The following is a 17,724-nucleotide window of genomic DNA, read 5'->3' as shown; positions in this document are numbered from 1 at the left end:
CACTGCAGGGGTTAAAAATGTACATGAGAAAAAAGGAAGTCCAGAAAAGTTTTCTTTTTTTTTTTTAAGTAGTCCTGCATGTCGGAAACCATACAGAAGTATTCGCCCTTCTGGAAAAAAAGAAAAATCATTCAATTTTAACATTTTATGCATATTTTTAATTATTAAAGGGCGCTACATTAGAGCTTCCATTTGTTCAGAATATTGCAGTAAACTTCTAAAGTCTTTGGAGGCTTTCAAAGCCATACATATATGTAATACTACATAGCACCCCACCCCCCAGAAAAACCACAGCAATATAGTATTATAATTGTTTTCATTGCAATAAGTCATCTATGATGAATTTGGTAGATTATATGTTGTGAGTGTTTCAACTACATATTCTATAGGAAGGAGAAGACAAGTGCTCTGTGTCTGCCTCCCCATGACCTGCTTCCCAGTTGCTTTCCCTCTCTGAGTTCACCTGATCGCGCCTCTGGACGTCTTGGAAGCACGCCTCTGCTTCCCCGCCTCGCCTGCGGGGCTAGACTCTTCCCTCCACCCGGAGGACCCCTTCTCATAGCTGCGGGCTGAGGTCCTGACCATCTCTGCTGGACACCCGTTTGAATTGTCCTCTGCTAAGCACACGGAATTTCACCTTCCGCCCTGTGAAGGCGGGCGTGGCCACGTGACTAGTTCTGGTGAATGCAATGGCAGAGGAGCCGGCGTGTCACTTCCGTATGGAAGTGTGCAGGAGCCAGGAGCGACAGTCCAGCCCCGTCTTTCCTTGCCTCAGTGCCTGTGGAAACGCCAGTGTGGGTGTGGAGAAACTGGAAAGTCCAGCAGCCAGGTCTCAGCCGCCGCCTACCGGACAGCTGCCCTGGAGGGGCGCTGGGTCCCACAGAGGGGTTCGGGTTTTGCAGTTTACAAGAAAGAAGTTTTGGTGTTAAGACGCTGAAATTTCAGGGTTGCCTATTGCAGCAGGAAAACTTGGCCCATCTGCTCAAATATCATCGACTCAAGGCCCAGCTCAAACACCTCTCTACCACCTCCAGGAGGGCACCCTTCTGCTGAACCCTCTAGAGCCACGTGTCCGTTCCTCTGGTTCACAATCAGACCCCTGCGCGGTGAAACATCTGTTGGGTTAGAGCCACACAGACCTGAATTCGAATGTCAAACTGCCATCGGCCATGTAATAGCCAAGCATCTTTCTGAAACTCAATTTTTTAATCTAAATGATTGATGTGATGCCTCATAGAATTGTCAAAGAAAAATGAACACTGCAATAATACATCTGTAGTGCTGTTAAATCCTTTCATATTGATATATTTTTCTCGGTGGAGAAAACTTACAAAACTTAAAGCAATTTCAAAGAATAACATTTTCTTTTTATTTTTCTGCAATTACAGGACTGCACAAATTTCTCTGCCTAATATTTTTACCAAAGTATAATGTCTTTAAAGTAAGACACAGATGTATATTTATTTTTAAGATAATTAATGAGGCAAAACATAGCTATGTACATAGTTTGATTAAATTGTTACATAGTAACACTCTTGTCTTTTTAAAAATAAATTTTTTTCTTTTTCTTTTTTTTTTTTTTTGAGACGGAGTCTCGCTCTGTCACCCAGGCTGGAGTGCAATGGCGCGATCTCAGCTCACTGCAACCTCCACCTCCCAGATTCAAGCGATTCTCCTGCCTCAGCCTCCCGAGTAGTTGGGATTACAGGCACCCACCACCAAGCTCAGCTAATTTTTGTATTTTTAGTAGAGACAGGGTTTTGCCATGTTGGTCAGGCTGGTCTCGAACTCCTCACCTCAGGTGATCCGCCCACCTCGGCCTCCCAAAGTGCTGGGATTGCAGGCGTGAGCCACCATGCCTGCTAGCATAAGGAATTTGAAAGTTATTCAAATACATATCCAATAACGTTTGACCTGCATATCTAACTATTTTGAAGTAAATGACCATTTTTGGTTTCAAGGCTTTTTATGTGTATTGTTTAATAGAGATTTACTTCAGATCAAGAAATGAATAAATATACATTCATTATATATTAACTCACATTTTAGACTAGAAGAAACCAATTTATTGTTTAGCTATTAAATTCCTTCTTTCTTTCATTTATTTATTTATTTTGAGATGGAGTCTCCCTCTGTCGCCCAGGCTGGAGTGCAGTGGCTCTTTCTCAGCTAACTGAAACCTCTGCCTCCTGGGTTCAAGCAATTCTCCAGCCTCAGCCTCCCAAGTAGCTGGGATTACAGGTGCCTGCCACCATGCCCAGTTATTTTTTGTATTTTTTAGTAGAGATGGGGTTTCGCCACCTTGGCCAGGCTGGTCTCGAACTCCTGACCTTCAGTGATACACCCACCTCGGTCTTCCAGAGTTCTGGGATTACAGGGCTGGCCAGATACTAAATTATTTAAATAATTATATATCAATACATATTGGAATCATAGCTTTTTCATTAGGCTAAAGTAAACCTACAATGTGCTGAGAAATGCCTTATTAACAACAGTGTTAGGTACTAGGGAGTTTCAATAATTTGTGGTTATAATTCCTATAAGAAATTTAATATATTATTAGCATCTTTTATACCATAAATTTCAGAAGATAATTATAAGGGAATTGTATATGATTCTAGGCTTGGATTTGGATGGAGACTCCAGACATGAACCCTTTCAGCTCAATAATACAATTATTTTTTCACAGTCATTTTTAACTTTTAATTTCCCATACATACATTATTTCCCATTAAATAAAGATAAGATTACAGTTTAAATTTCAATGTCTAAATATAGTGAAGTGGCAATAGAGTAAAAAATATAATTTTAAAATGAGCTGTAGCCAAGGGTATAGATGACAAAATATCCAAAGTATAGATATTCAATTATGAGTAAGAGAAGTGTTTTAGCTAAAAACTATTTGTTTAAACATAGAAAATTCATGAAGAGATGCTTGTTCAAAGATTAATGTCAAAATGTTAGTTATTTTTGTTTAATTGTTTGGTTTATTTGTTGTAAGGCTGGTCGAGTATTCATTATCCAAAATGCTTGGGACCAGAAACGTCTCAAATTTCAGATTTTGGAATCTTTGCATGATCTATTTACCAGTTCAGCATCCCTAATCCAAAAATCTGAAATCCAAAATGCTCCAATGAGCAACTCCTTAGCATGTCCTGTCAGCACTCAAAAAGTTTCAGATTTGGGTGCATTTTGCATTTTTGGATTCGGACTACTCAACCTGTATAAAAGAGTGACACAGCAGGGTGAATTCCACCATTAAAAACATTCTAAATACTTTTAGATGTATGTCATTTTCAACACCACAGACTACATCTTCTCAAGCAGCTCCTATTTCTGGGATCCCTTAGACTATGAATTAATATGTAGAAAATCCTTAATATTCTAGACCGGGGTGGACAAAGTACAACCTGCAAGGCAAATCCCTCTTGCCTCTTATTTTTGTATGGCTCACAAACTAACCATCTTCTTTACATTTGTAAATGGTTGGGAAAAAAAATCAGAATGAGAGGTGAACATGGCAAAATATTAATTTTGAAGGCTAGATATAAGGTATCAGTTTAAAAAAAAGACAAAACAGATATTAAGTTACAGACAAGGCCGGGTGCAGTGGTTCACACCTGTAATCCCAGCACTTTGGGAGTCCGAGGCGGGGATCACGAGGTCAGGAAATCGAGACCATCCTGGCCAACACCGTGAAACCTCGTCTCTACTAAAATACAAAAAATTAGCTGGGCGTGGTAGTGCACGCCTGTAATCCCAGCTACTCTGGAGGCTGAGGCAGGAGAATTGCTTGAACCTGGGAGGCGGAGGTTGCAGTGAGCCGAGATCACACCACTGCACTCCAGCCTGGCAACAGAGTGAGACTCCATCTCAAAAAAAAAAAAAAACAAGTTACAGACAGAAAAGAGGAGGGAAGCATCCAATTCTTATCAGTGAAGAATCATTTAAACGAGACTGGCTTTGCCGAAACCAAAATGGACGTCAGAGTTGATGGCTTTTCTTGGGGGACGATGGTAATTAACCCAGAAGAAAGTGTTTCAGTCTAAAATGATTCTCAAGGTTTTCTACTAGCAAACCAGATGAGGGTAAGGGTTAGGATAAGGGTTAGGGTTAGGTATTTGCACATATGTATTTTTAATGATAACTCACTCAGAAAGATCCAGCAACCATTAACTACATGAAATTCCCCTGAAGTCATTTGGAGGTTTCCTAGGGAGGGCACTGGGGTAACAGGATTAATCCTTAATTAGGTTGCCTGAGGAAACAGCTCTAGGGAAAAAGCTGAATCATTATTTTTTAGTTTACAGTTGTATTTTCTTAGATGGAAATAGACGATAGTTATGAATTCACCTCTAAATATCCTTGGAGAAATCACAAAGGTGGATTAATGGGCATCCTCCACTGATGCAGGCAGAAGAACGTTGAGAACAGGGCAGGGATGTGAAGACACAAAAGCAAGAACCCAGGCTCACCTGGGCATGCTGTCTTCCGGGGAAGAAGGCAGCACCATGGCACTGGGAAACTTGGTGAAAAATTCCATCTCTGGAGTCACATTGCTCCCATCTGGACTAGGACTCAGTATCTTGTATGAGTTGTCATCCTGAGATCTCCCTTCAGCCCCCTCATGGGAGGTTTCTGTAAACATAACTCCTGTTTTCTATCTTCTGTTTCCTCTGTTCTTTCCTTGGCAAGAAGCCAGGCCAACCATGGCAGTTGATAATATGTTCTCCTCTGAGCTCTTGCTATACTTTCTACCTCATCCATTTTCCTCTTCATACTGATTAAGTTATTATGATAACCTAATTGATTCCTGTTCTTCTATGTTGAACACATACAGGAAAGTGCATGCCCCATCATTATACAGCTTGATGAACACTTGTGCACACACCCAGGTTTAAACACAACAGCAGAATATGGCCAACACCCCGGAGCCCCACTCGTGTCTCTTCCCAGTCACTCCCTTCACTCCCTGCTCAAGTTAAACGCTGTCCTGACATCACAGACTCATTTGTCTTGTTTTTGAAGTTTGTGAAAACGGAATCCTACAGTATATATTTTTGTGGGTATGTTTGGCTTCTTTTCCTCAGAACTGAGTGTGACTGTGTATGTATGAAAGATTCATCCTTTGGTTGTATGAGGCAACAGTTATTTCATATAAATTGCTGTTTAATGTCCTATTGTTTGGCTACTGTGATGTCCACTGTTAGTGAACATTTGGATTGCTTCCAATGTTTGACTGCCCATAAGAATGCTGCCGTGAATAGTTACGTATGTGTCTTGATGTGCAGCACGAGCTCACATGCTGGTTGGGCACGTGCCTATGAGTGGAATTGCTGAGGCATTGGGTAGGCACATACACACACTTAGTAAATACTGTCAAATTCCCAAAGAGGTTGAACCAATCTACGTTTTCATCACCAGCATAGTGGGATTTCAGTTGGTATTATCAGCCTTTAGCCATCCTGGTGGATGTGTAGTGATATTCTATTGCCTTAATTCACATTTTCCCCATTTCTAATGAGAATGACCATCCTCTCACATATTTGTTGATCATTTGGATCTCCTCTTTTGTGAAGTCTTAGTGTCTCTTGCTTGTTTTTCTGTTGGGTTGTCTGTCTTAATTGATTTGTAGAAACTATTGATATATACTGGATAGGACTTTTTGTCTTGATATAACCACGCTACCACTCAGTGGCTTGCCTGTCACTCTCATAGTATTATCTTTTACTCTTAAATTTAAAAAGTCTTTAATTTTAATATAGTCTAATTTATCAATCTTTCTCTTTATGGTTAGTGCTCAAAAGAGCATTATTCCTATTCAATTTTCTCTATCCCAAAATCTTAAAGGCTTTTCTCTTATATAATTTTCTCAAAGTCTTGTTATTTGACCCTTCAAATTTAAATAAGCAGTATACCTGGAATTAACTTTTGTGTATAACTCTTCAGGGTAGGGTTATATTTAATTTTTTTCATGTTGTTATCCAAATTATTCAAGCACCATCTACTGAAAAAAAAAAAATCTCCACTACTTTGCAGTACTATTACTTTTACCAGAAATGGAATATCCATATGTGTGTGTCTGTATGCACCAATTATTCCATTTTTTCGGTCTATTTGTTTATCATTGCACAAAAAACTGCCTTAATTACTGAAGCTTTATAATAAATTCTGATATCGAGTAGACTAAGTCCTGCCTTGTTCTTTTCATTAAAGTTTTCTTGGCTTTTCTTGGCCCTTTGTGCATCCACATACGTTTTAGAATTATTTTGTTAATTACCACAGAAAATCCTGCTGAGGCTTTTATCAACATGGCATTAGATTTATAGACCAATTCAGGGAAAATGAATATATTTACAATAATAACATTTCTAATCTATGAACATGGTATATCCCCCCCACTTAATTAGATTATCTTGAATTTTTCTAAAAAATGTTGTAGTTTTTTCTGCATAGCCCTTGTGCATCTTTTAAAGAAGTTTTAGTGTTAAATATTTAATATTTTATGCTTTTGTACGTGAATCTGTTTTAGTATTTCATTTTCCAACTGTGCTAATACAGAGGAATATAATTGATTTTTAAAAATATTCACCTGTGTCTAACAACTTTGCTAAACTAACTTCTTAATTCTAATAATTTATGCTTTCTACATCGAAATATTATCAACAAATAGTGGTAGTTTTATTATCTCTTAGCCAGTCTGCATCTCTTTACTGCACTGGCTAGAATTACTAGTTTAATGCTGAATAAATGTGGTGATATAAAATATTCTTGTTTACTTCCTAATCTCAGATGGAAAGGTTTCAACATTTCACTATTAAATGTGTTTTTTAAAATACTCTTTACTATAATAATGATGTTGCATTCTATTCCTAGCTATTTTAAAATGTACTCTGTATCATGATAATGAAGTTCCACTCTCTTCCTAGCTTGCTAAGAGGTTTTTTTTTTTTTTAACATAAATGGATTTAAATTTTTAAAAAATGCTTTCTCTTTATCAATTGTATGATTACTTACTTTTCCTCTCCTTTATAGTGTTAAGACACTACTTTGAAGAATAAGCCCCAAAATGTGTGATACATTATCCTTTTTGTACATTGCTATATTTAATTTCCTGATATTTTATTTATAAAGTTTACATACATATGTACAAGGAAAATTGACCTATTATTTTTTTCTTATAATGTCCTTGTTAGTTTGATGCTTAAATTGTACTGATTTTATTAAAATTGCTGGGAAGTGCCCACCCTTTTTTATTCTCTAACTTTCCCCACACTCTCTTAAACATTTAGTTGGGCTGGGACTTTTGTTTTGTGGGAGGATGGGTGGGGTCAGAGTGGGAGAGCTTGAAGTACAGATAATTCCTGAATATTTACAGAACTTTTAAAATCTCCTATTTCTTCTTGTGTCAATATTGGTAAGTTTCACCTTTCTAAGACTATGTTCAGTTCATCTAACATTTCAAATTTGAATATATGGTCTTTTGTGACTGATTTCTTTCACTTAGCATAATATTTTCAAGGTTCATCTATGTTGTAGTACAACTTTTTTTGTTTTTTGTTTTGTTTTGTTTATTTTTTTTTGAGATGGAGTTTCGCTCTTGTTGCCCAGGCTGGAGTGCAATGGCGCAGTCTCAGCCCACTGCAAGCTCTGCCTCCCGGGTTCAAGCGATTCTCCTGCCTCAGCCTTCGAGTAGCTTGGGATTACAGGCTCGTGCCACCACACCTGGATAATTTTTGTGTTTTTAGTAAGAGACAGGGTTTCACCATGTTGGCTAGACTGGTCTCGAACTCCTGAACTCAAGTGATCCTCCTGCCTCAGCCTCCCAAAGCACTTGGTTTACAAGCGTGAGCCACCGCACCCAGCCCAACTTTGTTTTAAAGTGAAAAAAATTAACATGAATTCTGTAATGTGATTAAAGTATATCAATTCTATTGCACAGGACAGGACAGTATTAGACTTTGTTATCCCTACTCAGTATGCTTAACGAGGTGCTAATATTTATAATACATTTTCTAGATGTAAATATTCTCATCTTGGTTCATTTTACTGAAGGGAAAAAATCAAGCTGAGCATTATGTTAGTTGTACAATTAATATTTCTGAAATAGATCCTTATTCAATAGAAAATTGTTCTTAAATTATTAAACATAATTTCAAAAATAATATAACATTTTTGTGGGATAAACATCAAATTGAACAGCTTTAGTTAAAAATGGAGTATAACGTATCTTCCTTTTCTATACCAATTAATAATATAAAACTTCACAGCCATCTTAGAAGCTTTAATTTGGAAATATTTATGGCTGAGTTTTTTTTGAGCTATCAGGATTCTACTTCAGCCTTGAAGAAAATATTTGCAAACCATATATCCAGGGAAGGGGGAGAAGTAGGAATTACAATCGATCCTGAGGCATTATCTTGATGATCATGTTTTCATGGATGTATGCATGTGTTAAAACTCAACAGATCAAACCCTTTAAATACATGCAGGTTATTATATGTTAACTATACCTCAGTAAAGCTGGAGAACAATATTTTACCCAATGTGCAATCAAATCCTGTTCTATATATAGCCATGCCACACGCCTGGGCAGAGTGGTTCCCGTTGTGGTTTTCACTTCTTGAGGTGGTTAGATTTAGCAAAAATGTGGCTACTTTATTCTTTCTGATCCTTTTTTAGACATTTAATTTTGGCATTTCACTCCCCTCCTATTTTTTTTTTAAATGGACACATATGGTATAAATATTTTAGCACTAAATAGATAATCATTGAGAATAAAAATCATACATTTCAATTGTGTAAAATTGTTTTCTATGTCTAGAAATAAACTATAATCTTTTAAGTTTAAATACAATTTTAGAAAGCATTTTCTAGTAAATTTCTGCAGAAATGCATATATAATAATGACATAAAATTTTTTCAGAAACTCAATTTATTTCTTAATTAAATTACCATATTATCAAAATGCATGAATATGATATTATTGTCTTTATAAGAAAAAAAATTCACAGTGTGCCCAAATGCAAGTACCACACACTATGGCATTGAGGGTGGCCTGTTTTGAACAGGTGGTGAGTCGGGACAGAGGTGGCCCTGCTCCGCCCTGCACTCCCAGGTGGGTCCAAGCACATGGAGGCTGTGCCCTCCAGGGGCAATGGCTCTGATTTGACTTTCTATATCTCATGCTCTGCGTATGAAGAATTCATATTGCTAGACTCTGGGGTGAGGTTAAAATGCATAATGCTAGATTGCGAGGCCTGGTTAAAGGGCCGGTGATCATAGGTTTGTTCTTGAAACGCTCTAAATATTCAAGGTGCCAGTGTGGTAAATTCAGGAGTTTGTGGTCATAATGCCTTTTGTTTATTTACTTATTTATTTATTATTATTTTTTGAGATGGGGTTTCACTTGTTGGCCAGGCTGGTCTCAAACTCCTGACCTCAAGTGATCCGCCCAGGCTGGAGTGAAGTGGCGTGATCTTGGCTCACTGCAACCTCCGCTTTCCCAGTTCAAGCGATTCTTGTGCCTCAGCCTCCCGAGTAACTGGAGTTACAGGTGCATGCCATCACACCCAGCGAATTTTTGTATTTTTAGTAGAGACGCGGTTTCACCATGTTGGCCATGCTGGTTTCGAACTCCTGACCTCAAGTGATCCACTCACCTCAGCCTCCCAAAGTGCTGGGATTACAGGCGTGAGCCACCTCGCCTGGCCCATAATGCCTTTTATATATTGATTAATCATGCTCTAATGTGGAGGACTACTATTTGGCTGTAAGATACAGAGGGGAGAGTTCTGGAGTCAAACCCACCCGGATTTGAGTTCTGATTCTTCAATTTAATAAGCTTTGTGACTTGAGCAGGCTGGTTACCTTTTCAAATGCTTCCTTTATGAATCTGTAATAAGTGGAATAACATTGCCTGCCATTGAGAGCTAATTCTCCATGCGTCTCCACTTGCAACTCATCGTGTGTGCAAAGCCATCAACAGCCCTTTGTGACACTATCTTGGGAGACAGAGATAATGTCTCCCTCTGGGGCAAAGGTCAAGTTTGCTTGCAGCCCATCATAAAAAAATGGGGTTTCCCAAGCTTGGACTTTGTCAGCTGTGACACACACCCACCAGATATGCAGGATCCAACTGGAACTTTCCACCTCACCCCCATGGGACTTGGAGAGCAAGGGGAACTGAGGCACATATACAACTCCTCTGCCTGCTGTGTGGGAGTAATAAAGCTACTTGTCCTGAGCTCAGGGGGCTCAGGTCTGCTGCCAGTGTGTACAGAACCACTGCAGGCCCACCTGTTGGCTTGCAAGTAGGGTAAAACCCCGTAGCCTTCAGAGTCCTGGCACCCACCTTTCAGAGTTACTGAGAGAATAGGCAGAGGCTGTATCATCTGCCAAGCAGCTTGGCAGATGGCAGTCCGTCAAAAATATGCTATTTTTTTTCTTTTTGACACTAAGGTCTGATTATATCTACATAACAAACAACCAGATGAAAGGTTAATGCATTTCCAGCATTTTCCTCTTAGTTCAAGTCGGCTATTCCGATACTTCCAAACAAGCAACTAAAACTTTCACTTTTGGGTAGGCAGCCTGAATATCTGGCATCGGCGCATATTAAAATGTTATCAGAGCTCTGCTGTGTTGTGCGGTACAGTGTCTGCTTATAAGAAAAAAGACTAAAGAATGCTCAATGATTCTAACTTACTGTGTTTTCTTATTGTAGTTTATGGGAAGTAGGAGAGTAGACTGTGAATAGAGTATGACAAGAAAAATGGAAAATCAATCTCACTGAGAGATAAAAATTGGCTCTTCAGGCTAGCCGTGTTGTAGAACTCTGACACTGTATCAGTGATGATGCGTACCTTTTCAGTAGTAAATTCTGCTTGGAGATTCAGTAGCACTGGAGTAGTTTCTTCTGTTTCTAGTTCCTAATGGAATAAAGAGCAGAATCCTCCTAACTTTTACCTCCTCCTCCTCACCTGCTGGCCGTCTGCCAATATGAAATATCAATCACACACAGTAACATTGCCACCAAACAAGAGTTTACTGTGTTTAAAAACTCCTACCAGAGCTTCTTGTAAAAATTTCACAGGGAGATCAAAATAGCACTTCTTCTTTGTCAAAACATTTTATTTTAACTTCTGTTTAAGGAAAGAATCCAAACCACCCCATTCTCCTTGATGTTTACTTTCTCTGAAAAATGTCTTTATGAAATGTTTCTGGAGGCTTTTATTTTCAAGCTCTCCTCCCAGAAGATATGTCCTTGCATGTCGTCTTCAGTTTGTTGGAAAAAAGAAGATTCAAGTTTCCTTCTTGTCTGTGGCAAATTTCCCAATCTAAACCGCTTGTCGCTAACCTTTCCACATTGAAGATGCTTGTGTTTTATTGTTGGGGAATAAATACTAGGAACCCAAAACTTCAGCTTGTTTTATGTGTTCCAGACGCCTGGTAGTTGGGTGCACTGTCTTGGCCACTGTACCTGAGCCGGGCCTGGTGGCAGCAGGTGACTGAGTCAGGCGCCTGTCCTGACTGCTGTGTGAGTGCTGCTGACTTCCTAAGACTTCGGGCTCCTGGAGTGGCGAGCTCTGGGGGACAGGCAGTCTTAAGACCGCACTTTCTTGAAGTTTGACAGGGGTGGGTGACCTTGCTGTTTTCCGAGCCTCGTGGCCATTTCCTTACCTGTGGAACAGAGATGTTAACATGGCTCCTGGTGATGTGTGTGAGGCCTGGTGTGCCTGGCACTGAGGCTGCTTTTCCACCCGCCTCCTGCCCGCGTGGCCTTCCTCGCCTCACGCGAGGCTCTGCTGCAGCAGGTGATGGGGTGCGGGTCGCAAGGATGTTTCCAGGACATTCTCTCTCCTTCTGCCCTCCTTTGACTGATGTTCTTTTTGGCACCAGGCTGGACTGCAGGTGGGCCCAGGGAAGATCAACCCATGGCGTGCACAAGGAGTGGGGTACAGGGCCCCCCTGCATGGGGCAGGGCAAGGACACCTCAGGGCTGCCACATGTGGGACTGAGAGGACAGGTGCCACAGGTGTGGACATCACGACAGCCACACGCTGAGGTCTGTTGGCCCACAGGTGGGCCCTTCGTGGAGAAGCTACCGCCCTCGGCACAGCCCTGCAAGGCCCAGCATCCTCATTCTACTTGTGATGGAGACAGTGACAACAGCCAGCGAAGGGGCTGCGTGGACACTGTGCACGGCAAGAGCCTGAGAGAAGAGTCGGGGCTGAGGACAAGCCGGGTGTGTATCTGCCACCCCACAAAGCCCAACAAGAGGCGACTGGTTCTGGGTTCGAGAAAAAAAAAGAGGAAAGCAAACGGTTGGGACAAAGCTCTGAAGATTCTTGCTACCAGCCTAAAGGAACACAGGTCAGCGGTCAGAAGCTATGTCCTGCCGGGAGGTGGGAGCTTTGTGTTTGGGGTCCTCCATGTCCTTCTCTCCCCCAGCACAATGCTTACCCAAGAGGACCCCCGTTATGACGCAGATGGCAGTGGGTCTGGGAGCCCTGCATTCCTGCGCCCCGGCTCTCTCACTGGGCAGAGGTGGCCAATGGGCAACCCTCAGGCTGTAGAAATGCTTTTGCTTCGTGGTCTGCATTGACAGGCCACGTCTTTTATTATTATTTTTAATTGTATCTACAATCTGGGACACCTGGCCACCCTGGGTCAGCATTTCCTCTTGGGAACAGCCTGTGGGGACTGACCTGTTGATGAGCAAGTGCCCCCCACCCTAGCACCCCAGTTGCCCCAGTGTGAGGAGATGTGGATTGCTGAGAGACTGGAGACAGGATTTCACGGGGATCTTGAGAAGGTGGTGATGGTAGAGACAGGGAGATGGCCATGTGCAGTTTCTGAGCCAACAGGGCTGGGGAATGGCTGCTCTCCTCTGCTGGCTCTGCCAAAGCCAGGAACCCGCCTTTCCTCTGATTCAGAAGTATGGTCTGGGCCAGAGCCTGGGGGCTAGGGGAGGGAGCATGGGGTCTTTCTTCCTGTTTACTCACTAGCTTTCTGGGTCTGGCTGTGACTTTGTTCTTCTCTGCCTGGGTAACCCTCAGGCAGGTGGCTCCAGGTTTCAGAACCACTGGTCTCTCCCCTCTGCCTCCAGGCCCACAGGCTGCTGGCTCCTCAGTCCCTATTACTGCTCAGTCTGAATGCTCCCATTGCCTCCTCCTCTTCCCTGTAAACAACTCTCACAGTTTTATTGAGATGTAATTCATGTACATGCAGTTCACTGGTTTACACCGTGCCATTCATTGGTGTCTGGCACATTCACAGAGTTGTGCAGCCATCACCATGGTCCATTCTAGAACATTCTGCAGTGTCATCCCCAAATGAACCAGTGAACCCATACCCCTCAGTGGCCACTCCCCATGTCCCCCAACCCCTCTACCCCAGGCTGTCACCAGTCTGCCTTCTGTCTCTAGATTGCCTATCCGGACATGTTCTATGAACAAATTTCAACACTTTGTCTTCTCTTTTGTGTTCCCTCAGCCCGCCCACACTCATGTAAATAGTCCCTTCATAAAACTCTTTTCAGTTAAACCCTCTAAGTGGGCCACCTTGTCCTGCCAGGACCCTGGCTGATTCACACTTGTCTGCCAATAGGATGTGAAGAATAAGAGGACAGAGAATAGGAGGAGACAAGACCTTATGGGGTCCCAGCCTTGGCCACTAGGTCATGGGTAATGTCATTCACAAAGATCAGAAAGACAGAATCAGAGCATTTTTGAAGGTGAGGAGACAGTGGGTGCTGTTGGAATACAGCAGGTTCAATTTGCTTGCAGGGGTTTTGGGGAGAATGTCTACCAGGCAGGTAGATACATGAAAGTACAGTTCAGGGATGCAGGTAGAACCATTAAGCTCTTGCTACCACCACCAAAGAGGCTGAGCCCTGGACAAAGAGAGACTCCACAAATACCCGACTGCTTCTCTGTGCCCCTTGAACAATGCGAAGATGTCAGCACCCCAGGGGAGCATCCCCATCCACCTCCCCCACCCTCCATAGGCCCAGAGGCTGGTGTCTTCAGGAACATTTCCAGTGCCCTTCCCTTTCCCAGGTACTTCTACCTTTTCAGGCCTGTCTCCCCACTGATTCTTCACAACAGAGGGCTGGCTCCGGCCTGACCACAAGGAGAATTGTATTTGCAAAGAGAGAGGTAAAGGTGACAAATTAGATGGACAAAACCATAACCTCTCAACAGATGTCTTAGTCCATTTCATGCTAATATGACAGAATTCCACAGACTGGGTAATCTACAATGAACAGAAATGTATTTCTCACAGTTCTGGAGGCTGACAAGTCCAATATCAAGTTGCCAGCATCTGGCAAGGGCCCTTGTGCTCTGACATCCCATGGTGGGTGGTGGAAGGTGGAAATGCAAAGGAGGGGGATGGCGGCTGAACCCATTCACTTATCAGGAGCCCACTGCCCAGATGTAATGACGACAGTAATCCATTTATGAAGCAGAGCCCTCATGACCTAATCACCTCTCAAAGGTCCCACCTCTTAGCATGGTTGCATTGGGGATTAAGTTGTCAAAACATGAACTTCAGTGGACACATCCAAACCACAGCACCAGGATAGGGCTCCTGGCGCGTTAGTAACACTTCTCAGTTAGTATGGAGTTGGAAGAAGATTGTAGATTAATTTTTGGGGAAATCCCAACACTTAAGGAGCAGGCAGAAGAAGAGAAAGCCATAAAAGAGCGTGGCAAAGAATCTGTCATAAGAGATATAGGAAGAAATCCAGAAAGGAGAATTTTTGTGGAATTGAGAGAAACGCAGTTTCAAGAAGGAGGGTAGTCACTTGTACCAAATGTGGAAGAAAGGTCAAAGGCGTTGAGATGGGAATTGTATGCACCAGATTTATCACTTAGGAAGCTGTGTGAATACCTTCAGCAAGGGCAGTTTCTCCACTGGAGTGGTGTTTGGCAAATTTTATTTCTTTCCTGGTGGGGTTGGGGAGTGAAATTTCAGCTTTTAAATGTGTGAATGAAGAGTGAGGAAGTAGAAAGGGAGAGTGTAAGGTGTTTACTGGGAAGCTTGTTGGTAGAGGAAGGAGAGGGAAGGCAGCTGGACTGAAGACTGCAGGTGATGGAAACATATGTGTTGATGGTGCTGGGGAAGGTCAGAGGAGAGGGAAAGGGCAGGACAGGGACAAGGACAAGCGTTTGGGGTCAGAAAAACTCTGAGCCTGGAGGGTCTATAACATCAGCAACAAGTCATCACTCTTTTGATATTTTCTCTCACCTCTTTATTGTTTTCTCTGTTCTGAAAGGTATTTTTTTTTAACTTTTTCTAATTACTTAGCCAACCCATTTCTTATCCTAAGATTTGTCGGAAAATACAGCAGGAAGTGTGAAGAAGAAGAGGAAGAAGGAGGAGGAGAAGAAGAAAAACTATAAGAAGAAATATGAAAGTTAAAGTAATTAAAGCCTGAGAACATTTAATGTGGGTTCAAAAATCCTTCTAGAATTCAATGGACCCAATGATATAATTGCTCCAAAATTTACTTTCTTAACACTCACACTGAATCGCACACACACATTATATTGCTATTTGTTAAAGAATGTAAAAAAAGGTTTCATATATTACAGGCCATCTAAAATGGTTTAAAAGTTTTAAAGGAGTCAACTTCCATTATTTAGAAAGATAAATTATAAGAAGCAGTTTAGTCTCCAATATTGCCAACCAAATAAAGTGTGAGAATATGGTTAGGATAATGAAATATTTGCTGGAGGTGTGGCAGTGCACACTTGTAGGATGCAACTGGCCATGTGCGTGTGGCTGGAGCTGGTGGCATCAGAGCCGAGCTGGTGTGTTCTGTGTGGCTGCCGCCTCGGTGCCCAGGAGCTTCTGTCCAGCTTCACGGCTGGAACCCTGTGATTTCCTAAGCTATCCTGTGCTCTTCTTTTTTTAAGTTTTTCTTTTTTTTAGGAAATGAACTAGAATGGCTCATAGTTTGCACCTGTGAACCCAGGTGAACGAATTCTGGCAACCCAGGTTGCTAGCGTTCTTGCCAACTGAAATAACTTTAAAGTTGCTTTGGTTTGTTGCTAAATAATTTAACTGTTCTTGTGGCGAATGGGCCCAATATTAACAGGGTTTTTGTTTTTGTTTTTTTGAGACAGAGTCTCTCTCTGTCACCCAGGCTGGAGTGCAGTGGTACGATCTTGGCTCACTGCAACCTCCACCTCCCAGGCTCAAACAATTCTCATGCCTCAGCCTCCTGAGTAGCTGGGGTTACAGGCATGCACCATCACATTCGGCTAATTTTTGTATTTTTAGTAGAGACGGGGTTTTACCCTGTTGGCCAGGTTAGTCTTGAACTCCTGACCTCAAGTGATCCACCCGTCTCGGCCTCCCAAAGTGCTGGGATTACAGGCATGAGCCACCGCGCCCGGTTGATCGTAACAGTTTTGCCTTTTAATTTTCCTCTGTGGACTAGTAGGTGTAAGGAAAGATAATTACAGCTCAGAGCCCTGCCCTGACACTAGGCATTAGGCACTCCCAGTGAGGGGGGAAAGACGAGAGTCCTCTCTCTTCTAAGGAGGCTTTTCTTGAAAACTTCATGCTGGCATTGTTTTCCTTTCTACAGTTTTACTCCTATTGTTTCTGCTAGGTGTGTTTCCTGGTCTCACATCTGAATTTTTAAAGGATGGTGACCACACCTGCCTCCCTCCTTCCTCGTGGCCCCTCGCATGGTGCTAAGCGCGCTGTGGGCAGCTGATACTCAAAGCCATGGATTGGTTGATCTGGTAGAATATGAGCCTGGAAAAACAGGAAAGCTGGTGTATTTTAGTTGCTATATACTGTTTCCATGACGTCAGCACACTGCTTATTTTCTCAATTTCCCTGGTCACTGAACAACAAAGGATTCCCAAATGAAGCAGAGGAAGAGACCCAGAGATGTCAGTCCGGGGACAACCCAGGGGCAACCGAGAAGCCAGAGTCCGGCCACGCCAGGCTCTGAGGGCGCGCCTGGGTCACACTGCACTGGCTGGAGGCCCCTGGCTTGCTCATCACTGTGGAAACTGTAAACGCTGCCATCTGTCTGCTGCATTGGGCTGTCAGGAGGGAAGCCAGATGGTGTCAGGGAGTGTGGACCCATGAGGGGAGAAAGACGCCAGGCGGAGGTGCACTGCGGCCCCCTCCCCAGGGTTGATCCCCCTTGGCTGTGTGCCTGGAGCAGCGCCCGCTCCTGTGGATGGCGAAGAGGGCCTGCTGCCAGTCACAGGAGGACATTCTGGGAGAGTGAAGGTCGTCATTAGAATCTGAATCACCAGGAAATGGAGCAGAACTTGATGTGGCACATTCCAAAGATTAAAAAAAAAAAAACCAAAAACACCTCGTTATTAATTTGAGTCGTTCTCCTCATAAACAAATTCACACGCTGACTCTTTGGGCAAAAGAAAGGCAAAGATTAAACAGGTGCAACCCAGCAGGATACACACGCAGAACTAGACTCCGCTCAGCAACTCCATGCCACAGAAGGCCGCTTTCGGAACCGCAAGGATCAGTTTTGGGTTCTGCTTGACTTTGATGATAAATATGGAATTAAAAAATCAATCTATGAAAATGTTATTTAATCTCAGAAATCTTTCCTGCCTTATTCATTAATGTGATTATTTGTTTCTTAGTCAATGCCACCTTCTTCTATAACTTTCTACGTAGAGGGGGAAAAGCCCCAGTATTTAGCACTCTGAGTTTTATAAAGCG

At 42.3% G+C, this 17,724-nt stretch overlaps 2 annotated features.

Moving 5' to 3' along the window:
• Window positions 765-1,059: a silencer, noted in NCBI's record as "tiled region #935; HepG2 Repressive non-DNase unmatched - State 23:Low, and K562 Repressive non-DNase unmatched - State 1:Tss". NCBI's record gives its function as "represses a minimal TATA promoter and a strong SV40 promoter by Sharpr-MPRA in HepG2 and K562 cells {active_cell/tissue: HepG2 | K562}" and the evidence as "EXISTENCE:reporter gene assay evidence [ECO:0000049][PMID:27701403]".
• Window positions 17,057-17,590: an enhancer, noted in NCBI's record as "H3K4me1 hESC enhancer chr6:168199638-168200171 (GRCh37/hg19 assembly coordinates)". NCBI's record gives its function as "activates a minimal SCP1, AML or CMV promoter by ChIP-STARR-seq in primed H9 embryonic stem cells {active_cell/tissue: H9 hESC(primed)}" and the evidence as "EXISTENCE:reporter gene assay evidence [ECO:0000049][PMID:30033119]".

Source organism: Homo sapiens, chromosome 6 (genome assembly GCF_000001405.40).
Source record: "Homo sapiens chromosome 6, GRCh38.p14 Primary Assembly".
NCBI lineage: Eukaryota > Metazoa > Chordata > Mammalia > Primates > Hominidae > Homo > Homo sapiens.
Note: the sequence above shows the minus strand (reverse complement) of the source record. Positions and strands in the feature narration are given on the sequence as shown.